The sequence below is a fragment of the Homo sapiens genome, chromosome 1 (genome assembly GCF_000001405.40).
Source record: "Homo sapiens chromosome 1, GRCh38.p14 Primary Assembly".
NCBI lineage: Eukaryota > Metazoa > Chordata > Mammalia > Primates > Hominidae > Homo > Homo sapiens.
Window position 1 is genome coordinate 95,784,529 of NC_000001.11, and position 25,373 is coordinate 95,809,901.

General features: G+C 37.6%; 1 long non-coding RNA gene across 1 annotated transcript in view; it reads left to right on the forward strand.

Annotated features, from left to right (window-relative positions):
• The window catches only part of LOC101928219 (uncharacterized), a 182,425-nt gene extending 159,096 nt beyond the window's left edge, over positions 1 to 23,329 (forward strand). The window contains exon 4 of the long non-coding RNA XR_001738162.2: positions 23,250 to 23,329. This is a non-coding gene — a long non-coding RNA (uncharacterized LOC101928219). The remainder of the gene's footprint in view (positions 1 to 23,249) is intronic.
• Positions 23,330 to 25,373: the final 2,044 nt, after the last annotated feature.

Here is a 25,373-nt window from a genome sequence, read left to right on the forward strand (position 1 = left end):
ACTTGAATCTCTCTCTCTCTCTCTCTCTCTCTCTCTCTCTCTCTTTCTCTCTCCCTCCTCTTTCTCTCTGTCACCCTTTGTCTCTCTCTGGTGAAGTTAATGTTTATGAGTTAAATTGAATTACCATGCAACTTCATCATTGAATATACTGCTTGTCCTTTCACCCTCTCTCCCCACCTGAACACCAGATGTAATAACTTTAAATATTTTTTAGTGCATTGGCCAGCCAATGTAAGCCCTAACATTAATTCCATAGGTATTTACGGGTGTAACAACTAACTGAATATTCAATATGCTTTTCATATAGTATTTTTTGCACATGCAGTGAATGGCTTCCATAAAGAATATCAATGATGACTATAATAGTTACACAGAGTTCCCGAAGCTCTATTCTGTGTCAGGTTCTGCTTTATCACTTTGCATGCATTGTTTACGTCATCTTCATAATGATCTACTGAGATAGATATGATTATGAGAGGTTAGTAACTTGTTCAGCATCATGGAGCCAGTAATTGGTAGAGCTGGGTCTACAATCCCAGGTATGTATGACTTCAAAGAGCAGTATGCTAACCACTGCTATGAATGTCACTGTACATTTAAACAATATGCTGATATCTCTATTTCTTGATTTATAATTTTTATATTGACTCCCTGCTGTTAAATCTGAGGAAATTAACTTGCATATGCTTCTAGGATGACAAACTTGTCCAGACTTGCCTGGGACTTTCCTTTAATCCCAGCAAACCCATCAGTTTAGAGCAAACTGTCTCTTGGCAGGTGTGCTTCACATTCTAAGTTATTTTAACAGTTTCTCTAATTATTAACTTTCTATTAACTAGTAGTTCTAAGAGTTTTAATCCTACTTAATACCTATTTAAAATAACTTAAATACCTATAATTACATTTTAATATATTTAAAATATTTTAAATATATTAAATATTTATATATAAATATATAACATATATTTTAAATATATTAAATGTAATATATGTTTATATATAAATACATAAAATATTTAAATATATTAAAATATACTTAGATACCTGTATAATAACCTATTGTAAACACTAGGCAGTATCTCTTACCTTCGAATATACAAAATAGTACATTCATATAGTGGAGATTAGTACTCTTTCAGTGCCTTTCCCTTTTCTCTTCCTCCCACTTGCAGACTGCTGCCAGCTATGTATGAGTGTTGTGTACTTTCTGTTCTGCATACCTGAAATTCAGTGTAATATACTTTGTGTAGTCATTGATTCTAAGCATGGAAAACGAGTAAACAGCATTTGCAACATTATGATTAAATAAATAATATTCATTTTATTCAAGTAAGTGATTGGACACCTAGAGAAGGAGATGTCACTGCTGCTAAGCCTGTCCTAGTTATGGGAGTTTGTTCCTTTAAGGAGTGTGTTTCTTGAATCATCCAAGTTAAATGGAAGGTCATTTTCTCTGTTGGTCAGTTTTTCAATTCGTGTAACATTTCCTTCCTATTTGGAAAATTACTTTATTGGTCAAATTTTTGTTTTTGTTTTCTCTGGAATTTTTAATTGTCTTTTTTTGTTAGCAAAAGGAGCATGCACCTTTCTCAAGTTATCACCAATATCTTGAACTTTTTTTTTTGAGACAGAGTCTTGCGCCGTTGCCCAGGCTGGAGTACAGTGGCGCGATCTCAGCTCACCACAAGCTCTGCCTCCTGGGTTCATGCCATTCTCCTGTCTCAGCCTCCCGAGTAGCTGGGACTACAGGCGCCTGCCACCACGCCTGGCTAATATTTTGTATTTTTAGTGGAGACTGGGTTTCGCCGTATTAGCCGGGATGGTCTCGATCTCCTAACCTCATGATCCGCCCACCTTGGCCTCCCAAAGTGCTGGGATTACAGGCGTGAGCCACCGCGCCCGGCCATCTTGCAACTTTTTAAACAAATTATCTGTTGAATGGAATTCATTATGTTCTTCATAAGTATATTATGGTTCTTACTGGGCCCATTGCCTTCTAGGGGTGCTGCATGGCACAGTGCTCCTCCTGGAACTGTGTTTGTAGTTCTTCTGCATTTGTTCCCGCTGTTGGTTTGCTTTTACTTTGCATTTTGTTCCTATAGTTTCATTTTTCTTTCCATTTTACTGGAGTCCATTTTCAGGTAACATTTTTAGGATATATAAATAGAGATAAACATTTCTTATTTCATGACTCACTTCTAACTGACATTTTGAAAGAGAATGAAATCCAAACTCATAACAATTTTCCTTCAGAACTGTGAAGACATTACTTCATCACTGTTAATAAGACATCTGAAGACAATACAACAATTCCTTTTTGAAAAGCCTTGTTTCCTCTGCCTTCCCACCCACCACCCTAATACTATTTTCATCTAATGTAATTTTTCTGTTTATCTCTAAATATGTTTATGTTTTGTGTGTTTTTAAGTGTCATTTGCTTAAGGATCTCAAAGGGGTTATACATACACACACATGCTCTCATGCACACACATCTATATGATTATTTCTGTCAACTAGCACAAAACTTTCAGTAAAGTTTTCTTTTAGTGAGATCTAGTTCCAGGAGACTATTCCTATTCTTGGTTTCACATACCGTTGTAAATCAGATCCATGCCTTCATTTGCTATTCTTTCATCTATGTACCCTTGTGGGTTTATTATGCATTCAATTTCAATGTGTATCTTATGACTATTACACTACCACTGGGAAGGTGCTCTATTTTCTTTCCCTTTATGTACCATACCTTTTCAAAGCATTTGGAAGGATACTAATCATTCAACGTCTCATGAAATTTTTGATGACTGATAGAAAGTAAGTAGAAACAGATGTCTTTCAAGTGGAGAGGAAGAAGTTTTGTTTTTTTTTTTTTTGCATGTGATGTTTTAATAAGATTCCTCTTACACTCTTACCTGTATCCTCACAATTTTCCTTGAGTAATGACATGGATATAAAGACTCCCCTAGATGTAGCAATTTTAAAAGAATACTTACATTGTGAAATTGGAATGGCCTGAAGCAATGCCTTTATTTCCTTGTCAAATCTCATAAACTAAAAAAGTATTAAAGAAATGGTGTTGGGGACTTTGAGAGAAGAGAGTCTTCTTTTTTGATTCTCTTTCTTCCTGTTCCCCCAGCACCGCCCTGATGGAAATGAGACTGCTACAGGGGTTGTTCTTTAAACAGTCAGACAAGTGATTATCCTGTTCCAAAGACATGCTTGAAGTAGATGCTCTGAGAGCACAGGACTTTCTCACAGAAAAGAGGATTGGCCATTCTTCCATCCTAGAATTGGGAGTTGGCATCAGCTAGTACTAAATTCATGAACTTTCTTGTAGAAAATGGGATAGAAAGTGTGTTAGTTGCTCTCATGAGATGAAGAGGATCTGCTACATTAAAGAATGATAATACTAATAATGATAACCAATAGTAATAAAACTAATACTGATAACAGTAATAGTTAACACCATTGAACACTTTTGGGTGCCAGTAACAATGCTAAATACCACATATTATTTTACATAATTCTCACAATAACATTATGAGGTTAGTGGCTACTGTAGTCTCCGCTTTTTTTTTTTTTTTTTTTTTTTTTTGAGATGGAGTCTTGCTCTGTCACCAGGCTGGAGTGCAGTGGCACCATCTTGGCTCACTGTAACCTCCGCCTCCCGAGTTCAAGCTATTCTCCTGCCTCAGCCTCCCAAGTAGCTGGGACTACAGTCATGCAGCACCACTCCCAGCTAATTTTTGTATTTTCAGTCGAGACGGGGTTTCACCATGTTGGACAGGATGGTCTCAATTTCTTGACTTCATGATCCGCCCACCTTGGCTTCCCAAAGTGCTGGGATTACAGGTGTGAGTCACCGCACTCAGCTTTCACTTTTTTTTTTTTCCTTTTTTTTTTTTTATTATACTTTATGTTTTAGGGTACATGTGCACATTGTGCAGGTTAGTTACATATGTATACATGTGCCATGCTGGTGCGCTGCACCCACTAACTCATCATCTAGCATTAGGTATATCTCCCAATGCTATCCCTCCCCCCTCCCCCCAGCTTTCACTTTTTTATAAAGAGAAAATGTGGTTTAGAGAAGTTGAGATACTTGCCCAAGGTCAAAATTAAATAACTGATGTAGCCAAGATTTAAACTGAAGTCACTGCACCACAGAACACGAGCTCCTAAGCACTACTGCTGTCATTTGCCAATGCTAACCACTTAATATGGTTTGGCTCTGAGTCCCCACCCAAATCTCATCTTGAATTGTAATCTCCAAGTGTTGAAGGAAAGGCCTGGTGGAAAATGACTGGATCATGGCGGCTGCTTTTCCCCTTACTGTTCTCATGACAGACCTCAAGATGTGATGGTTTTATAGTGTGACATTTCCCCTTCACTTGCTCTCTCTCCTCCTGCCATGTTAGAGGTGCCTGCTTCCCCTTTGCCTTCTGCCATGATATTAAGTTTTCTGAGGCCTCCCTAACCATGCAGAACTGTGAGTCAATTAAGCATCTTTTCTTTATAAACTACTTAGTCTCAGGTATTTCTTTATAGCAGTGTGAAAATGGACTAATACACCACTCTGCCTAATTAGTCTACAGAGGGATTTTGTTAAAAAGAAAAAAAAAACACCTCTAATAAAAAGATTTATGCAAAGAATTAGAAGCCCAAGCATCAGATTATGCTTAAAAGCTAAAAAAACAAACAAAAACAAAAAACAAAATGCACGCACCCACACAAAACACAAAACAAACAAACAAAACCTTTACTCAGAGTTATTTTCATGTAAAATCTAGCAATAGCTGTGACCCTTCCAATTACCAGGCAAGGAAGTTTGGGTGGTTTTAAGCATTTTTACTTTTGGAGGTTTTCCCAGATCATATCAAATGTATTTTAATGTGCTTATATCCCATGCTCAACCTAATTTCTATGTAACAAAATAAGAATAGAGTTGAGGAACAGAATAATGAGTTGACTAAGTAGTTTACACGTTACATTTTGTAGATATTTAATTATATTAAATTTCATTTTATTCAGAGATAGTTTTCAGTTAAAATTTCCAAGTAATACACATTTTTTAGACTCGAACACTGTTAGGCACCCCTTCATAGCTCATAGGATGAAGCCTATAGAAAGAAGATAAATAAACAGGAACTTTAATGGAGGATAGGTTTGAGGGGTAAAGGTGACAGCCTGCTATTGTTGCAAGAGCAGCAGATTTTGAAGCAGGTAATCAGGGATACAATTATAGCTCCACCATTTTCTTTCAGAAGCTTTGGAAAATCATTTAACTTTCTTTAGGTCTTAGATTCTATGTTTAAAATAATAGATAAATGCTCAGACTATTATAATGATTATAATTTGAAGCTTTTTTAACTCAAAAATATTTATTGAATGCTTATTAAGCATGAGGCATTGCTCTAATGTTGAGATGTAACAAGAGATGAGGACAACAGAAGAGCCCGTTCTCTTGGACTTTATCTTGTATGGAAGGAAACATTAATCAATATTGTATATGCATTCATGTAGTAATAAGGCCTATGAAGAAAAATGAAGTAGGTGAAGGGGATGGGGAGTGAAAGAAGTCTTTGTTTTAGATAAATGGTCATGGGAGTCCTCTTTGAGAAGGTGACACTTGAGCAGAGTCAAACTATGTGTGCCCAACATTTCCTAGAGAATAGGAAAGAATATAAAAGTTGGAAGCAGTGTGTGTGTGTGTGTGAGTGTGTGTGTATGTGTGTGTGTATGTGTGTGTGTGCGTGTTGGGGGGTGTTATGGCGTTATGGCAGCATGACACAGACATGACACAGCTGTTTCTAGAACTCTATGCCATTTCTCTGAATCCCCCCACCGCCTCTGTTCTGAGTGCTTAGGAGCTAAAATAGCAGAGTCCCATGTGGTGTCCATATTTTCCTTAAGAAATGTGTTAGAAAATCACAATCCTGTGCAAAAAAGTCTTTTTAAAAAAGTTTACCTGATGCAAATTCAAATCTGTGAATTTACAGTAAATGCCAATCTAAGTTTGCAGTAAATTATTGTGGAAAACTCTGAGTAATACACAATAAAAACTGAAATAGATGCTGGGCGCGGTGGCTCACGCCTGTAATCCCAGCAATATGGGAGGCTGAGGCAGGCGGATCACCTGAGGTTGGGAGTTTGAGACCAGCCTGACCAAAATGGAGAAACCCCATCTCTACTAAAAATACAAAATTAGCCGGTTGTGGTGGTGCATGCTTGTAATCCCAGCTACTCAGGAGGCTGAGGCAGGAGAATTGCTTGAACCCGGGAGGTGGAGGTTGCAGTGAGCTGAGATCGCACCATTGCACTCCAGCCTGGGCAGTAAGAGAGAAACTCTGTCTCAAAAAACGAAAAACAGAAAACTGAAATAGACATGAAATGATGATTTAATTTATCTCTACCATACAGTGGTATAGCAGATAAAATGTCATCAACCCTATTTTGCAGGTGATGCCCAAACTTACACAGATAATAAATGGAAGACAGTGAGTCCCTATCCTGGCCTCACCCCAGTACAGACTATTCAAACTTGCACCTTAGCTGTTTTTCAAAACACATACTTTGGTTTTATATAAAGACCTTTACAAAATCCGAGCATCATTATGAATGTGGGTCACTTACCCATAGAGGCAACCAGAATAAGGTTTCCTGAGGGAATCTGAACAGTGCTTCAGCAAATCATTGGTTGTGTGAGAGCTCCAGCCAATGAATAGAGGTGGCAGAGATAAGGGAGAGAAAGGGCCTAGGTCCTCAGGGATCAAAGAAAAGAGGGAAAGTATAATAGTGACAAAATCTCACACGAATAAATATCCAGAGTTTGTTTCCTGTCTCAGTCTCCCTAAGGAAAATTCTGGCATTGAACACTTGACATTTCCTCACTCCCAGCTTCTGAACTTTATCATGAGCTTTGGTGTGGGAAGAAAGGAAAAAACTAGAAGATTTACACTGACGAGAGGAGGAGAAAGAATAACTAGTGGTTCTTAACCCTGGCTGGATATTAAAATCACCCAGAGAACTTTGAAAAATTCCAATGCGTAGGCCAATTACAGTCAGGTGCCACTCAATGATGAGTATATATTCTGAGAAATGCATCATTAGGCATTTCACTGAAGGGTGAACATGACAGTGTCTACTTACACAACTCTAGTATGTAGTATGGTATAGCCTACTACACAGCTAGGCTATGTGGTTTAGTCTATTGCTCCTGGGCTACAAAGCTGTGCCGCATATTACTGTACTCAATACTGTAGACAATTGTAATGCAATGGTAAGTATTTGTGTACCTAGATATATTTAGACATAAAAAAAGGCACAGCAAAATACAGTATTATAAGCCTATGGGACCACCAACATATAATGCTGTCTGTTGCTGACTTAAACATTATTATTATGACTGAAACAGTATGGTGTCACATAACCACACTGCAAAATTTCTGAAAGTTGAGCTAAGATATCAGCATTTTAAACACACCTCATGTCTTTTCAGTTTGCAAATATGCTCAAGAACAACTGGACAAGCAGAATGCAAATATATATATATAAGAGAAGGTGTGTTGAGCTGGTGGAATAAAGAATCTGGCATTCTAGGCATAGGAAATCTTGAGGATTGTAAAAATACAGTGATAAAGACAAAAGATGTGAAAGAGCAGCTGCCATCAATGGGAATAATATTGAGAATGGCAGAGGTGGAGAGAAAGGAATTTCAAGATGTTTTGCTCCATAGGAATAACATACTCCCTCTTCCAAACTCAAATTCTCCGGAAATTTTTCAGGTAAAAATCAAAATTCTTTTCAAGGTTTTTTTTTCCCCCTCTTAAAGATTGCTTCTTTTTTATATATACCATTTAGAGATTAGACCACATGGGGCCACGCTTATTTGGGGGTACAAAAGTTTGAAGGGATTAATAAAAGTGAATTAAAAGTAAATATTTATGTAAGGGTTCATTTGCTTCCTGATTATGTTAAGAAAGAATAATCAGAAATAATACTAATGATGATAATTTATGGATTACTGAGCAATGAATATACGCTAACATTCTTCTATGAACTAGAAATGGATCAACTTATGTAATTATCCCAATCATGTGAAATAGGTACTACTATTATTGCTATTTTCAAATGAGAAAATCAAGCAAAGAGAGGTTAAACATTTCTCCAAGTCACACATTTACAAAGTGGTACAGACTAATTCAAATCCAGTTTCACTCCCAAGGCCCTCTTTTAAACACTGAGAGCTTCATGGTGTTTGGCCATGAAGAGAGAGAATCATGATAACTCAGGAAAAGAGTACTATGAAAGAGTGGACAGAAGATGTAGGAAAAGGACACTCAGAGTACTGCAAAGACTTGAAGAGTGGGGGTATCAAGAGCTAAGACGCAGCAAACATGGGCAAGACAGAGGAGAACAGCAACAAAATGGAAAGCTCCAGGCAGTGGTTCAGTCTGAATGGTTTATAAATCAGGAGGAATTTGTAAACCAAACACTGAATCTGAAAGTTGCTTCTGCTTCCATCATGAATCATCAATTTTATTAATTTTGAATAATACAAAAAAAGATCTTGAATCTAAGAAATTTAGTAATTTAAAGAAAGAACACTAACATAGCTAAAGAAATTAAATGAGAGACAAAAGTTTGAAAAATGCTTAGTCTTTTTTTTTTATTAGATAAAATGGACCTCACTGCAATGATACTGCAGAAAAAACCAGGTGGATATGTCATAAATGTCTGCATTACTTTTCCATCTGTCATTCAGGGGAGATAGGTACCTACAAATATATATGCTGTTAGTCAGAAATTTATTTTGGTATTAAAGAAGGACTAAGGGCTAATGATTACAACATTTTTATTTAAAAAAATGCCTTATGATAATCTTGAAATCATTTACAATGTAATTCAAAGTATGCATTTTGTTGAGTTTCTTTTAAAATTGAGTTATGTATCATCTTGTTTATATTGGGCTAAGTCTCTAAATAAAATGAATAAAAAAAATTCTCTCTAACGGCTTATAACCTCAGTTATCTCATTTGTAAAATTAAGTGGCTGATAGTTGTCTTTCTGATCCAAAATACTATTAGCCTATGTTTATCAATACCTTTTACCTTTATCATGTAACAATTCAAAATATCATGAGCAACAGATAAGCAGAGCACAAATGATTAAATGATCAAACACCTTTTTATCAAAAAGAGGTATTTTGATTTCTAATATTCGTTTGAAGTGTTTCACAGACTCTCCACATTTTTTATTTTATTTTTATTGTTTTAGTACATGTTACTAAAATACATAACGGACAGCAACATATATACAGTCACGCATCATTTAATGACAAGGGTACCTTCTGAGAAATGTGTCATTCAACCATTTCATCATTGTGCAAACATCATAGAATGTACTTAAAAATGTCAGCACATTAACTTGTTGACCAGATGAATCGCCTAATCTGTTGTCCTTCGCTAAATTACCACGCAGTCTCGTTGTGCATGGATTTAAACTCTTGAGTCACTACTCAGGTGGTTGCCCTTCTGCCTGTGTCTTCTCACATAATACTGTCCATGGGAGGGCACCAGAGCAGCATTTGCTTATCCTTACCTTGGAAATGCTCACCAGGGTTCAGGCACTTTGCTTCTATGCCAGTGCCTCTCCTGATGTGTTTGGGGTGCAAAACAATGAGCACTGACCAGCCCAACGAAATCATTCTCACCATGGAAAGTTTCAGCACTTGCTCTCAGTGTTGAGGATTTCCTGTAGGATTTTCTCTGTTACTAAAAATGAGAATTTTAGGGGAAAAAATGTGTTTTTTTTTACCTTTAGTTTCTCCAGCTAAGGTCCTGCAAATCAGACTGACAAAAGACAGATTAACAAGAGAAAACAAACAGAAGTTTATTAACATATGCATCACACACATGTGGGAGAACTCAGCAATAAGTACCTCAAAGGGGTGGTTAAAACTTGGGCTTATATAACATCTTAGTAAAAAATAATAAATTTGTAGAGAAATAACAAGACAAAGGAAAGGAATTTTGAGCTTCTAGAGGCAGTAAACTGCAGAAAGGTAAACATATGGGGAAACTAACTCAAAGGAAAATAAGGACTAGTTAGATGTGCTATATAGGTTTCTCTGGTCCCACCTCTGGGCTGATAGGAGAATAGAATTGTCTTCAGTGATTAACAATCATCTTGCCTTTCCTAATAGAGAGATGGAGGGCAGAGAGCTTGTTCTGTGTCTGATATTTCTCAGTCACCTTTAGCTCAAAACAATTCTGTGACAGACTGGCATGTTATGGTGTGAACCCCATCAGAAACTATTAAGAATATTTGTTGTAATGGTGAGCTTTAGACTTAGTTAAACCTATAATCACATCTCTACTTTCCCACTGATAGGTTCTATGGCTTTGGTGAGATTACTTAACCTCTTTTCATAACAGGATTAATAGCAGTGTTTAATATTTCAAAAGGCAGTTAAAGTGTCTAGCACAGGACTTGACACACAGGTGTTTGAGAAATAAAGAATTAGGTACTCTACCCCATCACCAAGTAATCGATTCAGAGGAGGTGTTAGCTTGTGTCCTGTCTGTTTCCTACTGCTATAACGGAATACTACAGACTGGGTCATTTATAAAAAACAAACGTTTATGTGGCTCACAGTTCTGGAGGCTGGGAAGTCCAAGGGCATGGCACTGGCATCCAGCAAGGGTCATCCCATGGCAGAAGTATGGAAGGCAGAAGTAAGTCCATGAGTCAGAGAGAAACATTGATCTGAACTAATCCTTTTTATCAAGAACACACTCCTTCAATAACTAACCTATTCCTGTGATAACAGCAGTAATCTCTTCAAGAGGGTAGAGCCCTCATGGCCTAATCACCTCTTAAATGCCCCACCTCTTAATACTGTTACAATGACAATTAAATTTCAGCATGAGTTTGGGTGGAACATTCAAATCATAGCAGCTTGCTAATGGTTAATAAAGTTGTCAGATCAAGACTCTTTCCATGTGTGAGAAGGAGCCACCCTAAAGAGTTCCTTCTATGATCAGCATTTATCACGTTTTTATGGGAGGACACGATCTAATTGTGGGACTTTTGTTTGAAACAAGATGTAGAAATCTTGGAGGGAGTTCCAAAGAGAATGACTAAAAATGATTAGTTTAGAAAATGGGTCCTTTGAGGAAAAGCTAAAGAAATTTGGGTTATTTAGCATGAAGAAAAGTACCATGGGGATTGGGGAGAGGAAAAGAAAAATGTAAGCAGAGTGAGTTTTACTTACATTTTGATTTAAATCATTAGGTGCAAAAAATGCACTTTACAATGTGTTTTTTTATCAAAGACCTACTCCTGTCAGTGCATGTTGTGTATAATAGATGCCTTTTTTTTTGCTCGGAAGGTATACAGTGCTATGCATTTTAAAGTAGTAATTTATTTTATCACATTATTGTTGCAATTGAAAAAGAAAATGCAGTATTTTTTTATAACTTATTAAAGTCAATTGAAGCAGAGGCTATTAAATTTTTTAGCAGAAAAGATGAGTTATTCCTTAATTCAGAGTTTTCTCCTGGTGTATTAGAAGAGAACTACATCCCAAAATAAGGCATGAACAAATATTTATTTAACCAAAAATAACAAGCATACATTTATATATTAGGCATACATTTGTTTTTGTCAGCAAATGACATCTTTAATTATTTCTTAGCAAAGTAAGTGTACATATTTACTATTTTAGTTACACCTGGGAATTGTGCTTTTTGAAAAACAAAACAAAATAGACATTGCTTAGTGAAGTCGATGAAAAAATTTGAAATGTTAAGCTGAATATTGTAGTTAGTCTTGTTCTCCTTTTCCTGTTATTTCTGTCCTAGAAAAATAGGAGCTTCTTTGTTTTTCTAGTTACTAAATGTTTTCTCAATTTAAAACTAATTAGTACAATGGAAGTAAACATTCTTTGTACACCTGTGAAAGAGCTACTGTTGCTAAAAATTAGGTTATTGCTTTAAAGATGTGAGATAAATTCAGGTGTTTAAACACCTCTCCCTAGACTATTGTATGAGTTTCTTTCAAATCTAATCAACAAATACTGATCTTGAGTGGTTCATCCTCAGTCCTAGAGTGCGTTCTTGTTGGCTTTGAAGACATATGCTGCACGTTCCTCACCCAGTCAGCTCTGCTTAGAAGGGAACCTGTCATGCAAGGTATTAGCAACACATAAGTTGGAGGTACTGTAAGGCATCTTAAGACCTATTAGAATATTGTCATAAAAGGTACACAAATGAATTATACATGATAATTATCATATTATACATGATAATCTAAATTTTGAGCCAACTTAGAAACTCATTTTGCATAAGTCTAATTTATTTTTAAAGAACAAGAAAATTCGGGGTGGCTGGCAAGATGGCCGAATAGGAACAGCTCCAGTCTGCAGCCCCCAGTGAGATCAGCAGAGAAGGTGGGGGTGATTCCTGCATTTCCAACTGAGGTATGGGGCTCATGTCACTGGGACGAGTTAGACAGTGGGTGCAGCCCACAGAGGGTGAGGTGAAGCAGGGTGGGGGCATCGCCTCACCCAGGAAGCTCAAGGGGTTGGGGAACTACCTCCCCTAGCCAAGGAAAGCCGTGAGGGACTGTGCCATGAGGAATGGTGCACTCCAGCCCAGATATTACGCTTTTCCCATGGTCTTCACAACTCACAGACCAGGAGATTCCCTTGGATGCTTACACCACCGGGGCCCTGGGTTTCCAGCAAAAACTGGGTGGCTATTTGGGCAGACACTGAGCTAGCTGCAGGAGTTTTTTTTTCATACCCCAGTGGTGCCTGGAACGCCAGCAAGACAGAACCAATCACTCCCCTGGAAACAGGGCTGAAGCCAGGGAGCCAAGTAGTCTAGCTCAGGGGATCCCATCTCCATGGAGCCCAGCAAGCTAAGATCTACTGGCTTGAAATTCTCACTGCCAGCAGAGCAGTATGAAGTCAACCTGGGATGCTCGAGCTTGGTTGGGGGAGGAGCATCAGCCATTACTGAGGTTTGAGTAGGAGGTTTTCCCCACACAGTGTAAACAAAGCCACGTGGAAGTTCAAACTGGGCGGAACCCAACGTAGCCCAGCGTAGCCCAGCAAAGCTGCTGTAGCCAGACTGCCTCTCTAGATTCCCCCTCTCTGGGCAGGGCATCCCTCAAAGAAAGGCAGCAGTCCCAGTCAGAAGCTTATAGATAAAACTCCCATCTCCCTGGTACAGAGCAACTTGGGGAAGGGGCAGCTGTAGGCACAGCTTCAGCAGACTTCAATGTTCCTGCCTCCCATCTCTGAAGAGAGCAATGAATCTCCCAGCACAGTGCTTGAGCTCTGCTAAGGGACAGACTGCCTCCTCAAGTGGGTCCCTGAGCCCAGTGCCTCCTGACTGGGAGACACCTCCCAGCAGGGGTCGAGAGACTCCTCACACAGGAGAGCTGTGGCTGGCATCTGGCAGGTGCCCCTCTGGGTCGAAGCTTCCAGAGGAAGGAACAGGCACCAATCTTTGCTGTTCTGCAGCCTCTGCTGGTGATACCCAGGAAAACAGGGTCTGGAGTGGACCTCCAGCAAACTCCAGCAGACCTGCAGCAGAGGGGCCTCACTGTTAGAAGGAAAATTAACAAACAGAAAGGAATAGCATCAACGTCAACAAAAAGGATGTCCACACAGAAATCCCATCTGAAGTTCACCAACATCGAAGACCAAAGATAGATAAATCCACGAAGATGAGGAAAAACCAGTGCAAAAAGCTGAAAATTCCAAAAACCAGAATGCCTCTTCTCCTCCAAAGGATAACAACTCCTCAACAGCAAGGGAACAAAACTGGACAGAGAATGAGTTTGACAAATTGACAGAAGTAGGCTTCAGAAGGTAGGTAATAACAAACTCCTCCAAGCTAAAGGAGCATGTTCTAACCCAATGCAAGGAAGCTAAGAACTTCAAAAAAGTTTAGATGAATTGCTAACTAGAATAACCGGTTTAGAGAAGAACATAAATGACCTGATGGAGCTGAAAAACATAGCATGAGAATTTCGTGAAGCATACAGAAGTATCAGTAGCCAAATTGATCAAGCAGAAGAAAGGATATCAGAGATTGAGATCAACTTAATGAAATAAAGCATGAAGACAAGATTAGAAAAAAAAGAATGAAAAGAAGTGAACAAAGTCTCCAAGAAATATGGGACTATGAGAAAAGACCAAACCTACATATGATTGGTGTTCCTGAATGTGACGGGGGGAATGGAACCACGTTGAAAAACAATCTTCAAGATATTATCCAGGAGAACTTCCCTAACCTAGCAAGACAGGCCAACATTCAAATTCAGGAAATACAGAGAACACCACAAAGATACCCCTTCAGAAGAGCAACCCCAAGACACATACTTAACAAATTCACTGAGGTTGAAATGAAGGAAAAAATGTTAAGGGCAGCCAGAGAGAAAGATTGGGTTACCCACAAAGGGAAGCCCATCAGACTAACAGTGGATCTTTCAGCAGAAACCCTACAAGCCAATATTCGACATTCTTGAAGAAAAAAATTTTCAACCCAGAATTTCATATCCAGCCAAACTAAGCTTCATAAGCAGAGCAGAAATAAAATCCTTTACAGACAAGCAAACACTGAGAGATTTTGTCATCACCAGGACTGCCTTCCAAGAGCTCCTGAAGGAAGCACTAAATATGGAAAGGAAAAACTTGTACCAGCCACTGCAAAAGCATACCAAATTGTAAAGACCATTGACACTATGAAGACACTGCATCAACTAATGGGCAAAATAATCAGCTAGCATCATAATTACAGGGTCAAATTCACACATAACAATATTAACCTTAAATGTAGATGGGCTAAATGCCCCAATTAAAAGACACAGACTGGCAAATTGGATAAACGGTGAAGACTCATCAGTGTGATGTATTCAAGAGACCCATCTCATGGGCAAAGGCACACATAGGCTCAAAATAAAGGGATAGAGGAATATTTACTAAGCAAATGCAAAGCAAAAAAAAAAAAAAAAAAAAAAAGAAGCAGGGGTTTCAATCCTAGTCTCTGATAAAACAGACTTTAAACCAATAAAGATTAAAAAAAGACAAAGAAGGGCATTACATAATGGTAAAGGGATCAATGGAACAAGAAGAACTAACTATCCTAAATATATATGCACCCAATACAGGAGCACCCAGATTCATAAAGAAAGCTCATAGAGACCTACAAAGAGACTTAGACTCACACACAATAATAGTGGGCGACTTCAACACCCCACTGTCGATTTTAGACAGATCAATGAGACAGAAAATTAACAAGGATATTCAGGACTTGAACTCAGCTCTGGACCAAGTGGACCTAACAGACATCTACAGAATTCTCCACCCCAAATCAACAGAATATACATTCTTCTCAGCAACACACCACACTTATTCTAAAATTGACCACATAATTGGAAGTAAAACACTCCTTAGCAAATGCAAAAGAACAGAAATCATAACAAACAGTCTCTCAGACCAGAGTGCAATCAAATTAGAACTCAAGATTAAGAAACTCACTCAAAACCATATAACTACATGGAAACTGAACAACCTGCTCCTGAATAACTACTGGGTAAAAAACGAAATTAAGGCAGAAATAAATAAGTTCTTTGAAACCAGTGAGAACAAAGACACAACATACCAGAATCTCTGGGACACAGCTGAAGCAGTGTTTACAGGGAAATTTATAGCATTAAATGCCCACAAGAGGAAGTGGGAAAGATCTAAAATCGACACCCTAACATCACAATTAAAATAACTAGAAAAGCAAGAGCAAACAAATTCAAAAGCCAGCAGAAGACAACGAATAACTAAGATCAGAACAGAACTGAAGGAGATAGAGACACGAAAAATCCTTCAAAAACTCAATGAATTCAGGCGCTGGTTTTTTGAAAAGATTGACAAAATAGATAGCTCGCTAGCCAGACTAATAAAGAAGAAAAGAGAGAAGAATCAAATAGACACAATAAAAGATGATAAAGGGGGTATCACCACTGTTCCCACAGAAGTACAAACTATCATCAAAGAATAGTGTAAACACCTTTATGCAAATAAACTGGAAAATCTAGAAGAAATAGATAAATTCCCGGAAACATATACCCTCCCAAGATTAAACCAGGAAGAAGTCGAATCCCTGAATAGATCAATAACAAATTCTGAAATTGAGACAGCCAAATTCTATGAGAGGTACAGAGGAGCTGGTACTGTTCCTTCTGAAACTATTCCAAACAATAGAAAAAGAGGGAATCCTCTCTAACCCATTTTATGAGGCCAGCATTATCCTGATACCAAAACCTGACAGAGACACAACAAAAAAAAGAAAATTTCAGGCCAATATCCCTGATGAACATTGATATGCAAATTCTCAATAAAATACTGGCAAATAGAATCCAGCAGCACATCAAAAAGCTTATCCACCACAATCAAGTTGGCTTCATTCCTGGGATGCAAGGCTGGTTCCACATATGCAAATCAATAAACGTATACCATCACATAAACACAACCTATGACAAAAAACACATTATTATCTCAATACATACAGAAAAGACCTTCGATAAAATTCAACACCACTTCATGCTAAAAACTCTCAATAAACTAGGTATTGATGGAACATATCTCAAAATAATAAGAGCTATTTATGAGAAACCCACAGCCAATATCATATTGAATGGGCAGAAGGTGGAAGCATTGCCTTTGAAAACCAGCACAAGACAAGGATGCCCTCTCTCACCACTCCTATTTAACATAGTATTGGAAGTTCTGGCCAGGGCAATCAGGCAAGATAAAGAAATAAAGGGTATTCAAATAGGAAGAGAGGAAGTCAAATTGTCTCTGTTTGCAGATGACATGATTGTATATTTAGAAAACCCCATCATCTCAGCTCAAAATCTCCTTAAACTGTTAAGCAACTTCAGCAAGGTCTCAGGATACAAAATCAATGTGCAAAAATCACAAGCATTCCTATACACCAATAATAGACAGAGAGCCAAATCATGAGTGAACTCGCATTCACAATTACTATAAAGAGAATAAAATCCCTAGGAATACAACTTACAAGGGATGAGAAGGACCTCTTCAAGGAGAACTACAAACCACTGCTCAAGGAAATAAGAGATAGCACAAACAAATGGAAAAACATTCCATGCTCATGGATAGAAAGAATCAATATAATGAAAACGGCCATACTGCCCAAAGTAATTTATACATTCAATGCTATCCCCATCAAGCTACCATTGACTTTCTTCACAGAATTAGAAAAAACTACTTTAAATTTCATATGGAACCAGAAAAGAGCCCTTATAACCAAGACAATCCTAAGCAAATGAACAAAGCTGGCATCACGCTACCTGACTTCAAACTGTGCTTCAAGGCTACAGTAACCAAAACAGCATGGTACTGGTACCAAAACAGATATATAGACCAGTGGAACAGAAGAGTGGCCTCAGAAATAATACCACACATCTACAACCATCTGATCTTTGACAAACTGACAAAAACAAGCAACAGGGAAAGAATTCCCTATTTAATAAATGGTGGTGGGAAAACTGGCTAGCCATATGCAGAAAACTGAAATTGGATCCCTTCCTTACACCTTATAGAAAAATTAACTCAAGATGGATTAAAGACTTAAATGTAAAACCTGAAACCATAAAAACCCTAGAAGAAAACCTAGGCAATACCATTCAGGACATAGGCATGGGCAAAGACTTCATGACTAAAACACCAAAAGCAATGGCAACACAAGCTCAAGTTGAGAAATGGGATCTCAGTAAAGTAAAGAGCTTCTGCACAGCAAAAGAAACTAGCATCAGAGTGAACAGGCAACCTACAGAATTGGAGAAAATTTTTGCAATCTACCCATCAGACAAAGAGCTAATACACAGAATCTATGAAGAACTTAAACAAATTTACAAGAAAAAAATTAACAACCCCATCAAAAAGTAGGGAAAGGGCATGAACAGACACCTCTCAAAAGAAGACCAACACATGTTTGTTATGTTGGTCTATAACAAACCAACAAACCAACAAACCAACATATGTTTGTTATGAGGCCAACAAACATATGAAAAAAATCTCATCATCACTGGTCATTAGAGAAATGCAAATCAAAACCACAGTAAGATACCATCTCACGCCAGTTAGAATGGCAACATTAAAAAGTCAGGAAACAACAGATCCTGGTGAGGATGTGGAGAAATAGGAACACTTTTACACTGTGGTGGGATTGTAAATTAGTTCAACCATTGTGGAAGACAGTGTGGTGATTCCTCAAGGATCTAGAATCAGAAATACCATTTGACCCGGCAATCCCATTACTGGGTGTATACCCAAAGGATTATAAATCATTCCACTATAAAGACACATGCACAAGCATGTTTATTGCAGCACTGTTCACAACAGCAAAGACTTGGAACCAACTCAAATGCCCATCAATGAAGGACTGGGGAAAGAAAATGGGGCAAATATACACCATGGAATACTATGCAGCCATAAAAAAGGATGAGTTCATGTCCTTTGCAGGGACATGGATGAAGGTGGAAACCATCACTCTCAGCAATCTAACACAGGAACAGAAAACCAAACACTGCATGTTCTCCCTCATAAGTGGGAGTTGAACAATGAGAACACGTGGACACAGGGAGGGAAACATCACACACCGGGGCCTGTGATGGGGTGGGGGAGTAGACGAGGGATAGCATTAGCAGAAATAACTAATGTAGATGACGGGTTGATGGGTGCAGCAAACCACCATGGCACCTGTATAACTATGTAACAAACCTGCACGTCCTGCATATTTATCCCATAACTTAAAGTATATATAAAAAAGAACAAGAAAATGCAACAAAATCTCAGATTATTAAATTATTTTCCTTGAAATTAACATTTTAATTCACCGTGAGCTTTAGCAATGAGAAAGAATAAAATATGTGATAAGCATAATGGCAAGTTTTGGTTTGCTGATTTCCAGTGAAAATAATGAAAATGAACAATTATAGTCAAAAGCTTAATTAGATCTTAGCTACAAGTCATCTTTTCATACACTCTACGTGTTAGATGGAGGTAGTGCTGCACCTAAGTGAGTGCTCCATCTAAGCTCTATCTGAGCATGTAACTCAGCAAGGTGAAGGGACTACTGCTTTCCAGCTAGTTAGCAGAAGGGCTGGCTAGGATGAAAGCTCAAAAAATAATGGCCGATAGTTCACTAGCCATTATATTTCTTACCACCTAACACTATTTCTCCAGTAGAGACCGCAAACTGTTTAATCCTTTTCTTACTGGATTTGAAAGAAAATGAGGAATACTCTGCTTCAATTTGCTATCCGGAGAAGGAATTTTTTTAGTTGGTCAAAATGGTTCATACAAGCTCTTCAGTGTCAATTTCTTTCTCCAAGGGCCTAGGATAGAGCCTAAGTTGGAGCTGAATGTTCTGGAATTTCCTCCCACCTCCATGTTGGAGAGGTGAAACTGCTTTTCAAAAAAATTCATTAGTTTATTTTCAGCTTTACTGAGGTGTTAATGACAAAAAAATGAATATATTCAAAGTATATAATATGATGTTTCAATGTACGTATACCTTGTAAAATGATTACCACCATCAAGCTACTTAACCTATCTATCACCTCACAGTTACTTTTTGTGTGTGTGGTGAACATACTTAGATCAACTCTTAGCAAGTTTCAAATGTACGATATGTTAATGCTAACTATAGTTGCTATGCTATAGATTAGGTTTCCAGAACTTATCCACCTTGTGACTGCAAGCCTGTACACGTTGACCAACATTTGCTATTTTTCCCACCCCGATCCCTGGTGACCACCCTTCTACACTCTGTTTGAAAGTGCTCTTTGAAGAACAAGCATTAACTTCTTGCTAATGCTGCAAAGAATACACTGCCCACAGAGCTAAAGAACTATTGCAGAGGGCTTTAGCAATTGAATTAGGTGTATAAAAGGCAATCACAGTCAGTCATTTCTGGTATCCACCCATACTAGGGGAGCTATTTTGAATTCACAGGAACATTAATAAAAATTTCCCCTTGAAGTAAATAATTAAAGGTGGATTATGATTTGAAACCTCCTAAACCATAGAGGTGGCGCACATTTGCAAATTAATATATAGAACTGACTTAGGTAAATCACACAAAATAAATGAGAACCAGATTTTGAATGAGGTTAGGCTGTGTAGTAACAAAACTAACGTTAAGGATAAAATCTTGTAAGAGAGAAAGAAAGATTTCTATACGCAGTGTTTTAAAGAATTGATAAAAATGTGCAGAATCCTTCAAGGCAACTAAATGAACTTGAGTAAGTGAAAGAAGCATTAATTATAGTTCTGCTGTGTTAAATGTTATATTAAAAATTAGGGTGTTTATTATCATGGCAATTTGTTATTAACCTTATTTAACAGGCAGAACTTTTTCTCCCTAATTTCTCTTCTCGCAAATACCATCCAGTCGATGAACCCATTTTTACTGAATACTTATATGTCACCATGCCGAGAGATTTCTTATTTAAGTATTTGGTGTTAAAGTCTGTAAAACTATCATTAAAAGTTCACCAATCATCTGGTCTGCTTGTGAAGTACATATTGTATGTTTAATCTTACCATTATTACATGGATGTTTTCTCTCATCTCTCACAAATAAGTTGTCAAATCCACACAAAAGGAAAAACGTTCTAAATTGTACCTTCTTAGAAACATTGTTCTCTCCCTTCATTAACAAAAATAATTGATTTATATGATGGAATCAAAATACAATAAGATGTCATTTAGATTTTTATTTTAATTACCTGTATTCTCATTACAATTCAGATTATTTTTTAGCATTCCCCTTTGATGCCTTTGTTTTCTTATACAAAATGAGAAAAACTTTTTTCCATCATTGATTCTATCGCTTTAAGCCTGGAAACTTTTGAATTAATTTTTATATACTATACTCAGTTTAGTAAAATATTTAGTGCTTTTATAATGTTGTAAACCATTAGGCTGTAATTACACTAACATAGTACGGAGACTAATAGTTCTGTTGGAATACAACAGTGATGCATGATGGCCTTATTAATATAATAGTCCTGAAACACTAAGAATATTAAAAAAATTAATCATTTTTACAGTCTGTATTTAGTTACAGATTGTAAAAAACTACTTATAATTTTACTACTGTTCTTACAGCCTCTGGGAGAAACCTAAAACAATTTCAGTAAAGCTTCAGAAAGTTTCAAACATCATTTCAGTCTGATGATCTAGCTATAGTTTAGTGAATTTTAAAGCAGCAGTAATTTACAGGGAGGAGTCAGACTGACTTTAGCAATTACTAAAGGTGGATCTATTGGTTCAAATACATTACTTCATGGCTACTAGATGGCTTTAAAATAAGCAGATGGATAATAGTGGGAGCTGAATTCCACACCCTAACTTGTTCCCTGTCCCCACTAGATAGTAAACTTGATGAGGTTATGGTACTTTGTGTAGTCATTTTAACCTGCAGCACCTGACACATGGAAGAAACTTAACAAAACACGTTTTGTATGAGTGTAATGGAGTGTATTCAACACGTGTTGAATGAATGCCCAGAATCCAATACATAATCAGGCCAGGCTTTTACTGAGTATGAGCATTGTGTGTTGAATGCCTCTCCCTCCCTCCCTCACTCCCTGTCCCTTCCTTCCTTCCTTCCTTCCTTCCTTCCTTCCTTCCTTCTTTCTTTCTTTTTCTCTTTCTTTCTTTCCTACCTACCTCTTCTGCTCTGCAGACCCTGCTACTACTTTACTTCCCTCCTCCTCTTAACATCTCTCTAGCCTGAGGGTGAAAATTAGAAAACTATGAGATTTATATTGTGGATAATGAAGGAACTCTGTGCATCCACTTTACTTTATAAAAACTCTTTACTGGAGTGCCTAGCAGTCTTGAAGCTGTTAGTAAAGTGAAACTTTGATTCTTAGTTGTAACTTTGCATAATTTTTGCTGGTGGCTAGACTCCACTCACTATATATCCTGACATCTTGCTAAACCATCTGCCTATTGCATATTTTTGGACTCCCTAACACCACCACCTCGATGCAGATGACCCACTTGTGTCTCTAATGGTCTCCTTTCGCCTTTTTATCCAAGACCCTTAATCTGCCTTGCTTATTCTAACTGATTTCACCAAGTTTGGTTTTGATAATTTTAGTCCACAATATTAGGAAACATCTATTTTTCTAAGGAAGAGAAGTAATGTTTATTTCTCACTTTCTACATTTTAGTGTATAACAACTAGGGATTTTTTCTTGTTTTTTTTTTCTGATTTTAGCTCCTAGCATTCAATAATGTTGACTGATTGCCTCTCTAATACTTGATCAGGGTTCTAACTGAGAAACTAGACCCTAAGAATCTGGAGTTTAAGTAGGCTGGGATCCACCAGTGGTTGTGTTGAGCATCTACCTTTCTGAACTAACTTTTATAGAATCATTCTGTAAAATCTATCTAACTACTAGCAGCAACTCACAAGTGAAAGAATTAAATGGCATAATATATGTCCCATGATTCCTTCAGGGACACCTGATATGAGGGTTTTATTGGCAAGGACAGGTAGGCTGCATGATTTCCTGGAAAACAACCTTTGGTACAAGAGTGTATATTTAATTATTTAAACACAGAGTATTGAGCCCCTACCATGTGTAAGGTGCTAAAATGCTGGAAATAAAAAGATAAATAGTAATGAATCTGACAGTGATCTCATCATCGAGGAGCCTCAGTTTAGGTGAAGATGGGGTACATTCATTAGTATATAAGACATGTGAGAAGTAAAGCCTATTGGTTGATAGCAGTCGCCTTGAAGTAGAATATAGGAATCCAAAATTGAAAGGTATTTCAAATTTAGCTCATCCACTCTCACCTAACCTATTTACCATGTGACTAGCCAGTCTTGACTTAAAAATCACAGGAAATAGGAAATACACTACACCCCCCAAAGGCAGCCTGTTCCAATTTTATGTCTCAGAGCTCAAATCTTTCTTCCTGAAATTTCCACTGTGGATCCTATTTTAAAGGCTCCATCCAAGACTAAATCTAACTTATCCTTCTAACAATTCTCAAAGTGTTTGACTGTAGTTAAGATAATATAGCTAATATTAATTGAGAAATTTGAAATGACATTATTAAAGCTTTTATATGTGTTTATTTAACCTTCACAACAACATATGAAGTAAACATTATTACTACTCCCATTCTACAGATGAAGACATGGAAGCATAAGAAATTGCCAATATTCACTTTGGGAGACCGAGACGGGCAGATCACCTGAGGTCAGGAGTTCGAGACCAGCCTGGCTAATAAGGTAAAACCCCATTTCTACTAAAAATACAAAACAAAAAAATTAGCTGGGCGTGGTGGCACATGCCTGTAATCCCAGCTACTCGGGAGGCTGAGGCAGGAGAATGGTGTGAACCCGGGAGGCAGAGCTTGCAGTGAGCCGAGATCGCGCCACTGCACTCCAGCCTGGCCGACAGAGTGAGACTCCGTCTCAAAAAAAAAAGAAAAAAGAAAAAGAGAAAGAAATTGTAATTGTCAATATCGCCAATGTCCAATATTGTCCATCAGTGAGGAGTGAAATTGAGATTTGAAGCCAGAACCCGCACTGCCTCCCTATCTTCTGAGTTCTTTTCAAAGAGAAATCTCCCTAGTTTTCTTATGTCATTTTTTTTAACTCATCATTATTCTGTTGCTACTGGAAGCGTTTTTTTTTTTTAATGTAATTTGCAGTGTGTGCCCAATGGAGAAAAGAATATTCCAGTTGTTCCCTGACCTACTTGGAGTTGAGTGGAACTCTCACTTTTATGCACCTGGATGTGCTATATTCAATAACTGTAGTTCCTATTACTTTTCAGCCTTATCTCCCAGTATCTCCCATCCTCTCCATCCCTTTGCATAAGCTGTCTGGAATGAACTGCAGTTCTGAAAACAATTCTCTCCTTAACCTAACTTTGGTCAGGCTCTTCTGAGCCCTCTTCTCAACTGCCTCCCAATCTTTAGATTTCTTCATGTTTCTTTGTATCATCCAGTCTTAGCAAAAATCCTGCTGAGTTCGTTTAGCAAGAATCCCCATCCTCAATATCTGATCACCCTTAATATCTGATCAAATTCCAAATTCTTCAGCCTTGGTGTTTGATTATATTGGCCTGCCTTCAGCGAGAATCCTGTCAGGTCGTTTAGCCAGAATCCTCCCTTCACTGCTTAGTAATTTTCTGTCCACTGATCCTGCTTCTTGGCTATAAATCCCCACTTGTTCATGCTGTATTTCGAATTGAGCTAGGTTCCATATTGGAGTCTCTTTTTCTCTACTACAATAGTTTTCTAAATGTATAATTTAACTTCACCACTTTAATTTCTGTCTGGCTCTGATTTTCTTTAACAGCTCCTTAAATGTGTCCTGTGGATGTGGGTGGGGTGGCAGCAGAAGCAGGAATCAAGAAATGCTTCCTGGAAGAGATAATGTAAAATCAGAGCTGTAAAAGATGTATGTAAAATTTCTTGGGCAGAAAAGAAGGGAAGAGAGGGCATTTCAAACATGTGATCAGCTTATACAAAGGCATAAAGATGTGAATCAGCATGGAGGCTTTAAAACAATTGTAATCAGTTCCATGTTAACTGAGCAAAGACTGGTGGAAGAGGTACTTAGGACTAAGGCGGACATTTAATACTGAATTGACAGTACTCTGAGACACCAGCCAATGGATTTGAGCAGGGTAAAAGCATATTGAGACATGGTAAAAGATCATTTTCAAATAAGAGGAAAAATCCTGACTCTAGTACAGTATAAAAATGAATATGTGTTAAACATTTTATTTAACTCATTCATTGATGAAACAAGGCAAATGTTAAAACTGTTTCAAAAGAGACTCAAAAATACAGTCACATTTACAGATCAGAAATACTGAAGTGAATTTGCAAGTGGACATAAAACTGGTTTTTCCACAGGGAGGAAGGGAAGACAAACTTCTATCAGACAGATCAGAATCTGCATAACTTGAGATAAAAATTTTGCACTGCTATCAGTTACCTAAGATTTACAGAGTTGTGAAATACCTCCTCAGATTCAGCATCAGATAAGAAAAAAGGATGCTCTATGAACAGTGCATGGATTTCTATTGGTGTAAACTTTTTTTCCTACCAGTTTGTATTCAAGAATATTTTCTTCGTGGCCCTGGAGGACAGAACAGAAAGGAAGTTAGTGTGTTTTGTTCTATTTTAGAGGACCTTCTAAATAGCCCTTTTATTTATTGTATTATTTGTGTGTGGTAGGAAGCATGATAAACAATGAAAAGAAGAAATAATTTTTCAAATTGTTATGTTCTTTACC